Genomic DNA, 11,054 nt, shown 5'->3' on the forward strand with positions numbered 1-11,054 from the left:
GTAAATACATTTCTACATTTCTTTAGGTAAAAATATGAGCTGAGTTAAAAAGAAAATATTAATTAAATAATAGACAGAGTGTGACTAAGATATGTCCAAACTTGGGACAGTCTGAGGTAAGTGACAGGTTTGGAAATGCTGCCTTAGACAGCCATTCTCACCAGGGTGGGAGAAGGGGCAGAGAGAACCTTGATGCAGTCAGGTCAACAACACAAACACATCTAGCCAAAGAGCTCATCCACCAAAGAAAGGAGGTAGGCTTGGAACTTGGGAAACACACAGACAAGGAGACAGCATATTGCAGGTCCAGGAAAGGAGTCGATGGGCCATATCAGTTCTAGAATTCTGATGCCCTTGCAGATTCAGTCAGTGGTGGAGACAGGGGTGCTGGACTTTCACTATCTGATGACATCAGCTTTTGGGGCCAGACACACAGCCACATATCTCAGAGTCCTCCTCTTCCTTGAGATCTCCTCTAGGATGAGAATCCATCCACCAGTTGCCCGTTAATTCTGAAAGTCATTCCCGGGCTCTACTTCTTGCCAAGCACTGGGTTAGGTGTCAGAGGCACCGTAGTAAACCAGAATCCCACCATCCACCCAACACGGAAGCCCCGGAGTGTCACATGTTATGATGGGATGAGCCCAGGCGGGAGCCCAGAGCAAGGGTACCCCCAACACCCAGGGAGGACAATCGGGATAGGCTTCTCCATGGCATCCAAGGTGAATCTCCAAGGATGAGACTGAACTAGGTGTGATGTGATCATCAGGGCTCTTCACCAAGAATCTGTTTCTCTCCTCCCAGGTCCAAAGGAAGACTGCTCTTCTCCACCCTCTTTGAGGTTAGATGTGGCCATGTGACTTCCATTGGCCAATAAAATATGAGCAAAAGCAACACTGGTGAGCAATCTCCCATGCTCTTTCCCTCCACCACTGCAATTTGCAATGTCCCAAAGGAGCCTGGTCCTCAGGGACCATGTGAACTAGAGTCCCCCATCCAACCTGCACTGGACACAGAACATTAGAAAGAAATGAATTAATATTTATGGAGTTAAGCTGTTAAGATTTGGGAATGTTTGTTACTGCAAGATAACCTAGCTTATCCTGACTGATACTGGTAGGCACAGGTGAGTGGATTGGTGATGGGAAGAATTCTCTGGAAAGGGCCGGAATCTAGCCCAGAGTTCCTCAACCTTGGCACTATTGACATTTTGGGGCCCATAATTCTTTGTCATGGGGGAGCTGTCATATACATTGTAGGACTTTTGGTAGCATCCCTAGTCTCTAATCATTAGATCTAGTAGCACCCCCTCCCCATGTTACAACAACCAAAAATGTCTCTAGGCATTGCCCAGTGTCTTCAGGTGGCAAATCACCCCCAGTTGTGAAACACTGCTCTCAACAAAACATAGCAAGCTGAGCAAATGCAACTGAGTCAGGGTGGGGCCTGGAGAGCCGGGGATGAAGGCAGATGAGGCAGGAGGAGAGGGAGGGAGTAACTCATGGCCAGCTATTTAGTCTAGGGTCAGACATTGTCAAATGTGTGCTTTGGAAAGACCATCCTGGCTGTTCTAGGATTTTTCTGAAGTTTACAGGCCTCTTGACAGTGGCCCTGAGCTTCATGAAGTGACATGTTAGGATTCTGCCTGACTCACAAGTCCTAGTTAGCATAAGCTAACATGAGTCTGGTCCAGAGAAGATCTATCACTGCTGGGTTAAAGACAAGGTTTTGGATGCTAATCTGGACTGTGGTGACTGCACCCATTTTATAGATGAGGAAGTAAAGGCTCAGAGAACAAAAGTAACTTCTCAACACAGCATGGCTGGGAAACAGTCTATGTGATAATGGGCACAAAACCCAAGACTTTTCAAACCCAGGGACTTTACCAGACTCCAGTGAGTAGAAAAAAATGAATTTTAGATTAATAGAAGAACTTTCTAACACTGAGTCATCAGAAATGATATATTTATCATACTTTTACATAGGTTTACACATAGTAGACACTTTTTAAGGAGCTTACTAAATATTCACTCATCTAATCCTCAAAAAACCATGTTTGGCAGGGACTATTATTATGCCCCTTTAAAAAATTTTTTTTTTGAGACAGGGTCTCATTCTATTGCCCAGGCTGGAGGGCAGTGGCGCAATCTTGACTCATGGTAACCTTGGCATCCCAGGTCCAAGCAATCCTCCCACCTCAGCCTCCCAAGTAGTTGGGACCACAGGCATGCACCACCATGCCCAACTAATTTTTGTATTTTTACTAGAGATGGGGTTGCACCATGTTGCCCAGACTGGTCTTGAACTCCTGGGCTCAAGTGATCCACTCACCGCAGTCTCCCAAAGTGCTGAGATTACAAGCATGAGCCACTGCGCCAGGTTGCTATTATACCCATTTTTGGATGAATAAAATGAGACAGAAAGAGTTTAAGTAATTCACTCAAGGTCATACAGTTTGTAAGCTGCAGAGCTGTGATTCAAACATGATTGGCTCATACTCTGAATCACTCTACCATGCCACCTCTTAGTACATACAGTTTGGCTTGTGAGGCATTGGGCTTCTAGCCACCAGAGTCAGGCAAATGTTGGCAATTTTGCTAGATGAGACAGGACATATGGTAACACAAAGCACAAGCTTGCTATATATAAGACCAAATGCTCAAAACACGGTGACCAACCCTCCAGGGGTGTCCAGCATGGACACATAAGAGGCCCCTGAAATCTCCCAAGGTCCCTTCCAACTGTTTTGCCATCAGCATCCCCAAAAAGGGGCAAGTGCAGGTTTGCATGCCCAAGGTCTCATCTCACCAGGAGAAAGCCAACAGCATGAACACGCACCACAGCACAGCAATGAGAACAGCTTATTTCAGGCAGCACCTGGCATGCACCTGTCCTTGTTCTGAGCATGTTGCTCACATTAACCAATCAAATCTTTCTACAGCATATGGCTCAGGTACTATTATCAATCATGGTTCATAGATGAGAAAATAGAGGCTAAGAAAATTATGCAATGTGCCCAAGTTACTTCACTGGAGGATCAGGAATTAGGTCTAATTTGTTATAAAATGATGCTGCAGCTACAGACTCAACTCCTAATCCTGAAACCACCCTTCTGGTTTAAAATACAACACAGACCAGAAGGTTATGGGTTCAAAAGAGCAACTTATTCTGGTGGAGAAAGTCAGGGTCATTCAAGACAAGTGTGTCCATCTGTCAATGAGGCAGTGAGAGGCCACTTTGAGCCAGGCTCTGCACCAGGGTCATGGGGGCTGTGGCAACAAGGAGGCTCTGTGTCTGTTTTCAAGGAGTCAAAATCCAGAAAGGCAAAAAGGAGACATGGCAAAATCTCTCAGGGAGAAAGGAGAATATAGTTGGTGCCATGAAAGAGTTCAATGGGGCTTTTCTAGAGTACAGCCACTTGGCATTTCAGAGATCCACTGTCGGTTGATTGCACTTTTCTTTTTCTAACTTTGCAAGTAGCAAGGAACAAGGCCAAAAGTCAACTCTACCAGTTGAGCTCTGAGTGGCCACAATAATGTATAGAGGCCTTGAGACCATGGAGAACAAGAAACACTCAGCTTATTTACTATGTCTTCCCCCAAACACACACATGCATGCACATTGGTACGGATGCACGCACACTTCCATCTCAGGAAGAGGAATCAGTGGCACTCCCTCTCCCTCAAGAGTTCCACCAGCCCCTGTTTGAGTACCTATGGTGTGCCATGCACAGGGATTACATTTAAAAGTAGAGGCTTAAACTAGAGGCATGTCTGAGGTGCTGCGAGAGCTCAGGGAGAAGTGACTGAGCGTGTCTCTGCGGTGCATGCTCAGTGAAGGCAGGAATCTCTTGGGTGTGTTTGCCTTGCACATCTCCCCAGGGCCCAGCTATGTCTGCTGCATAGTCAGTCAACAGCAAGAGCCTTTCGAATGGATAAAAGAAGGGATATGTGACCTTGGCCAAGGTCAGCCTCCTCCTCCTGTCATATGAGGGTCCTACAGCCACTCAGAGCCTTGTGGAAGGATGCAGGATGGAAGGCACAGGACAGGCCTTGAGGAATGCAAGGCAAGCAGCCCATTGCTAGGAAAAGAATCGCTTTCTGAAAACTTAACATATTCACCAGAGTCTCTGTGACAATCGAGGAAAAAACTCGATTTACATTTTTATTTGGAATTTTATTTGGAATTTTTGTCTTGGTTCCAGTAAGCAAGCCAAAGCTTCTTCCTTCTAGAACACCCACCTTGGGGTCTCACAAAGCGTCTCAGAGCTGGCCAAGGGCTCTGTCTGCTGCTCTGCCTGGCATGGGCCCCACGGCTGTGCCGCTTCCCTTAATTTGCTCACCTCTTCAGCAGATGCAATAAAAACCTTTCACTGGCTGACAACGAAAAGGCAGTGCTGCTCCAACTGCTGGATAATTCAGGAAGCCTCTTTCTCGTTTTAATTGGTTTCCTAATTGGACTGTTTATGGGTTGTGCAATAGCTTGGGATGAAAAGGTTGGGCGAACAATTATGTGCCTAGCATTTCTATCTGGCAGGAGTTAATAGTTTAATAACATGAAGGAGAAACCCCTAAAGTTCACTGGAATGCCATGGTTTTCGTGCTCAAAAAATATCTCGCTTGGAAACAATCCTCCAAGTCTGAACTGATGTCAAGCTGTGATCACCCAGCAGCAAGTTGGTGCTTCCCTGAGAGTCTTCGGGTTCCCTTTTGATTTAAGGGAACGTGAAGTACGGGGGCTCTCTGGGGCCTGCCAGGTTTTTAACTGCTCACTCGCTCACTGGCTGGAGATAAGGAGGTAAGGAGGACCCTTGATGGGCTGATTGATTCTCTGGAAAGAAGGTTTGTCTTCCCTGGCGGGATAGATGACTTCATTCTGGTAGATGAGGTCACTCGAGTCAAAGACATAAAGCGTCTGATATTCACATGAAAGCCAGTTTTCAAAGCAGCCCATGAAGAAAAGCACCCCCTTGCCGTTTGCCTACACTCCATCAGTAAAGTCCAGGCTGCACCAGAACCCTTCTTTCCATAGTAAAATTTATCCCAGAATCCAATTCGTGCCCCCAAAGCAGACTCTGAAGCCAAATTGGATGGTTCTAATTTACAAAAATTGGTGGGGGACCCAGCGGGGGGTGCGTTGTGCAGAAAAATGTCCGGAACGACTTGGACATTTGGCTGAAATAAGCTGAGTGACTTTTCCCCAAAGGAAATCATATCCTAATTGTTGCCACATCGTTGCAACTGGGTCCTTGGTTATTTTAAACAAGCTCACTGGTCTCTTTCAGCTCTGAAAGTCCCTGGTATCAATTTTCTGGTAGAGAAACAGCAGACTTGGGAACTCGGCTTTCATCTAATCCTGTAGATTACAAGTAACTTTTTCATAATGCTACTGCACTGTGACGGCGTTATCTAAGGCAGCAACGCTAGGGGAGGTTTGGATTTGGGAACAGACAGAAACGTTGGAGTTTTTATTGCATGTTTTGTTGCAATAAAAGAATAAGATGAGCTCTGCCTATTACTGCAAATTAGAATTCTTTGCCCAAATAACAAAGTCCGTTTATGACTTGGGTCTTGGACTGATCTTATTTGTCTCCGTTTCATGTGCTTTATCTGGTTTAGCACTTGGAGCTTGATGGTGGATTTGAGCAATTAGCTAACTTCCTCAAGCTATGGTTTCCTTTACGTGAAATAGTACTGACTCCAAGAATGAATAAGGTAATCCCGTGTTTTGTAGAAACTGAGATGCCATCCATTGTAGGATGCTATATTATTTTGTCCCTCCAAAAGGAAAAAGCACTGACAATTAAACCATATCCCAAAGTTTTCTTATCATATGCTTTGTTGAAAAGTTTTTTAAAAAGATTCAAATAAGCATAGATTTTAGTTATCTATCATCCTTGGCCTGTTGTTCAGAATATTTGTTGAAAACATCTTTTTAAAGATTTCTTTAGACATAGATTTTAATCATACATCACCCTTGGCATTCATAAAAAATGGAAATGAGATGTATTGGTTAAGGTCATAACCACTGCTTACCTAGAGGCAGTTGTAAGAAGCCCTCAATTGAAAGACACTGATATCTCTGATTTCAGAAATTCAAAGGGGAAGAGGTGTACATTAGAATAGAGGAAACGTACCAGCTTGGGACATAGTAAATACTCAATAAAAGATAGTCGTTATAGCATTAATTATCATTCCTGAAAGGAATTGTAATGTGTGTAATTGCAAATTTTCTCTTTCTCCACTTTATATCCAATGGAGTTTCGATCTGTTTTGATGTCTGGGTTTCCCTAGTAAAAGGCAGCTCTTGCCAAGGCCTTACACTTGTCCTGGGTCTGACCACCTGGGGTCTCTGAATAGTTCCACCTAGGTGTCCCCCTTGACCTGGCTTAAGTCACAGGTTCATTTCTAAAGCAGGAGATTGGATGTGTTGTGGCCAGAACTGGGTCATGTGCCCACCTCTGGGTAGAGTTGGTCCACTTAAGCTACATGGCCTGGGAGTGGGGAAAGAGTGGTTTCCCGAAGAAAGATCAAGGTGATGTATTACGAAAAAGGAGAAATGGCTGTGGGGCAGTAAAAACCATGTTACTTGACTCAGTTCTCAGACAGCCACAGTTAGTTTAGCAGCTGCCTTGGGCCCAGACCAACTCAGGGATTCAGGAATCCCCTGACACCCTCAAGTCTCCACAAGGAGCTAAGCAAACTCAGAAGCAGCCTGGCAAACTATAAACAAATAACAAAATTTCTGTAAGCAGAAGCCACCTCTCCACACAGGAGTCAGAGGGCTCTTTCTGTAAGGAGCATTGCACCTCTTCTTGAATGCACATGTAAGGATGGTAGAAGGTATCTGCCAAACTCAGCAAGATCACCCAACGTGCTTGTATTTCCTCTTTCATGTTGCTGGCTACTACAAAAGTGCAGTCAAATACATCTGAAACACTTTCATCAAGGTTAAGAATTCTCAGAAAGGACAGCAGCCATCAATTGAAGAGATATCAGTGAGAAAAATTTTCAGCTACTCATTCATTAACCATTAATTCTAACTTCATCCCTTCAACAACCCCTCAAGAATTATGCTAGCTTTAGATTTTTCTAGGTTTGAAGCATCTAATTTGCAGAGAATGTGTTCCAATATTATCAAGTCTTCTGCAGCCACATTTCCCAAAATGTGGATGTAAATTATTAAGTGTGATGTGAAAAAAAATAATTCCACCATCAAATAAGTTGGAAAAATGCTGTGATTATTGTTACAGGACTTCTCAGAGCCTTTAATGACAATTTTATTACCTAGTAGTTATTGAATTCCCAACACATCTAAGTGTCCTTCATGAAATATTTTAGTTTATTCTCTCAACATTAACATCTCTATGAGGTAAGGATTCAGAACGTGATTGCTATCCTATAGTTAAGAAAAATGAGGCACATGTGTTTAGTGACTTGAACAAGGGTGTGGCCAGAATTCAAATCAATGCTAACCCCAGAGCTCGCATTTTTAAAACCCTACACCACACTGGCTCCATTCAAGTGTTGATATGAGCCTCTGAGACTGAAATTAAAACAAGCAGATTTCGTTCAACTTATTTAACACAAAACCTTCTTTTGTAGGATCTCACGAACTTCAGCTTGCACACATCCCGTGTTGGAAGATGCCAGCCTAAAACAATTGTCCATTTTTCCAAGCTCCTCTGAACCGATATGTATGGAATATAAACACCTAGCACATTCTAGATGCTATATTTGAGGGTGAGGATAGGACAAGATTCCTCCCTTAGGGAAACTCGTTGTCTAGAAGACAAGATGATAGATAGACTCTTTGGTGCTGTGATGGACATGCAAATAATGGACTGTGGACAAACCAACTCCACTTGGGGGCACCCTAGAATATCTCCAAGAGGACATGCAGCCAGGTGCAGTGGCTCCACACCTGTAATCCCAGCACTTTGGGAGGTCAAGGTAGGATGATCACTTGAGCCCAGGAGTTTGAGACTAGCCGGAGCAACATAGCAAGACCTTGTCTCTACCCCATATTTTAAAACTAGCTAGCTGTGCTGGTGCACATCTGTAGTCCCAGCTACTAGGGAAGCCGAGGTGGGAGGATTGCTTGAGCCCAGGAGGTTGAGGCTGCAGTGAGCCATGGTCGTACTACAGCACTTCAGCCTGGGCAACAGAGTGAGATCCTATCTCTATCTCTCTAAAAAAAGGATAGGTTTGAATTGTGGGCCTTAAAGGATGAATAGAGCCTGCCAAGCACACACAAAAAAGGGGCAGAGATATTGCAAGCAGAGGAGGCAGCATGGTTACCTATACCTCCCCCCAGGAGTAATGTTCCAGAAATAATTAAATGGCATGAGGTGGCCATAGATTTGCTTGTGAACTTTGCTCCCAAACTTTCTATAACCAAGAAAATGACATTACAGGAGATGCTATGAACACCTGTCTTTGTGAGAAAGAAGCTTTGCCAAAAACCTACTGTCCTTGGGTGGTTTCAAAAGATGCTGATGGAGTTTTGCAGGGTCTTGGACACCACACAGAAGCAGATCTCACAACCAACAGGGTAAGGTTGCTCCCCACAATGACCCTATGTGGCAGTTTTTAAAAAGGTTTGCAAATTATTTGGCCTTCCTCCTTCCAAAAGGTGGAGTCTAATTTCTCTCTCCTTGAATGTAGGTCAGACTTAGTGACTTATATTACTTTTCTTTTTTGAGACAGGGTCTTGCTTTGTTGGCTAGGTTGGAATGCAGTGGCACGATTATGGCTCACTGCAGCCTCGACTCCCGGGCTCGAACAATTCTCCCACCACAGCCTCTCAAGTAGCTGGGACTGTAGGTGTGCACCAGCATGCCTGGCTAAATTTTTATTTTTATTTTTGCAGAGACAGGGTCTCACTATGTTGCCCAGGCTGATCTCTAAGTCTTGGGCTCAAATAATCTTCCCACTTCAGTCTCCCAAAGTGTTGGGATTACAGGCATGAGCCATGGCATCGGGCCATGACTTACTTTTAATGAATGGAATATGACAAAAGGGATTCTCTGACTTCCGAGGTTAAGTCATAAAAAGAATACAGCTTCTGCCTAGCGTTCAGTGCTATCTTTTTCTGTTTATCTTTCTTCCTCTCCATTATCCCCATTCCTACCTCTCTCTGAACACTCACTTTTGGAACCCAGCCACCATGTTGTGAGGAAGCCCAAGCTCCCTGGAGAAACCACTTGGAAATATTTCAGCAGATGGCCGCAGCTGAGGTCTCAGCCAATGAAGTCACATGTGGAGTTCGTTATTTGTGCACTTAACTTATCCAAATTTAGCTAGACATCCTTGGTAGGTATGGTGGTCAGAGAGAAGGGAATCATTCCCCTGCCTTAAAAAAAATAAAAGCCTATTTGTGTATTTCTCTTTTTCTGTATACTCCATGGAAAGAGGAACCACAGTAAAAATGCAGAGAAGAACAGCACAATTTATATGGGGGCTTTGGGGCTTCAGAGGGCTCAGGTCCTGGAGGTTATAAGAGTCTGCCTTACAGAGATTTAAAAATATTTTTAGCAGGTACCATGTGAACTCCACTGTCTATAAAGCACCCATGCTCAAAACACAGTAATATTAAGAGTATTCAAGAGACTTGGAGATTTCCATGGCTCTACCAGGCACTCACCTGCTCTGTTCAACCTTCTAAATGGGTGAGAAGCTTCTATTTACTCAAGACCAGCCACTTCCCTCAAGGAATAATGACAAGGTAGCTCCAGTCTGTGCTGGAGAAACCCCAAAGATTTCATCTGACAATTCAGAGGCTGCTGCACACCATGCCAGGTGCTAAGTAAGATCTGGACCCAGAAGGGGAAGAGGGAAGCCATCCACCCTGCACTTAATGAACTTCCAACCAGGCCATCTTCCCGCCCACTATGGGGTAAATGCTGCCTGACGGCCTCTGCCTGGGAGGGGCACTGCAAAGCTGTCAGTTTTCAATCATAGGTTGGAAGACTCTTTCCCGGTTTTTCTCATTGGTAAAAGGCAATTGGGTGTACCCATCCTTCAGTGCTTCAACAGCCAGGGTTGAAAATTAAAAGGTTTTCTTTTTGACTATCAGTTAAAGAAAAAATGGAGTTAACTGGAAAAGGCCTAAAGCATTCTGAGTTGTTTGTTGTCCTTATAATTGGGGTGGTGGGTGGGTCTCCTGCCTCCAGGCTCTGTGGAGCTACAGCTGTGTCCAGTGGTGGAGATGGGCTGTAAATAAGTAGCCATTGGCCGGGCGCGGTGGCTCACGCCTGTAATCCCAGCACTTTGGGAGGCCGAGGCGGGCGGATCACGAGGTCAGGAGATCGAGACCATCCTGGCTAACACGGTGAAACCCCGTCTCTACTAAAAATACAAAAAATTAGCCAGGCGTGGTGGCGGGCGCCTGTAGTCCCAGCTACTCGGGAGGCTGAGGCAGGAGAATGGCGTGAACCCGGGAGGCGGAGCTTGCAGTGAGCCGAGATCGCGCCACTGCACTCCAGCCTGGGCGACAGAGTGAGATTCTGTCTCAAAAAAAAAAAAAAAAAAAAAAAAAAAAAAAAAAATAAGTAGCCATTGAAATAGTTAATTACTGCAGCAATAAATGTTACGAGAAGTAAAGGGGATTCTGAGGGTATCTGATGGGAGTGGGGGATTCCATGTTCCCTTCCATTGCTATTTCAACCTTGCTTGTGTGGGTGCAAAAGACTCCTTGTGAGACGGCTTGCTTGGAGGGAGGAAGGTTGCAGCCAGCTCCTTTTCTTATAACCAGCATCCATATCATTACCCACGGAGCGCCCTCAGCAGGTGCATGAATGCACTCCCCCACCCCCACCACAGTCCACACAAATAAAATCCTAAGAATGGCCAATATATTCTGCAGAAAGTCACAATAGCCCACAAGAAGTAATGCATAAACTCATAACTTCCAGCCCAGGCTATTTAGCATCCCATTAAAAATATTCAAAATATAAATCAAAATTCATGGGAATAAGTAATATTCAATTTAGAATTTATGGCATTTTAAAATAGGATGATTTCCTCAAATGTGCAATAAATTTGGTTTTGTGG

The 11,054-nt window shown here is 44.5% G+C and overlaps 1 annotated feature.

Moving 5' to 3' along the window:
• Nucleotides 9,859-10,359: an enhancer, noted in NCBI's record as "H3K27ac-H3K4me1 hESC enhancer chr16:54736052-54736552 (GRCh37/hg19 assembly coordinates)". NCBI's record gives its function as "activates a minimal SCP1, AML or CMV promoter by ChIP-STARR-seq in primed H9 embryonic stem cells {active_cell/tissue: H9 hESC(primed)}" and the evidence as "EXISTENCE:reporter gene assay evidence [ECO:0000049][PMID:30033119]".

This window comes from Homo sapiens, chromosome 16, assembly GCF_000001405.40.
Source record: "Homo sapiens chromosome 16, GRCh38.p14 Primary Assembly".
NCBI lineage: Eukaryota > Metazoa > Chordata > Mammalia > Primates > Hominidae > Homo > Homo sapiens.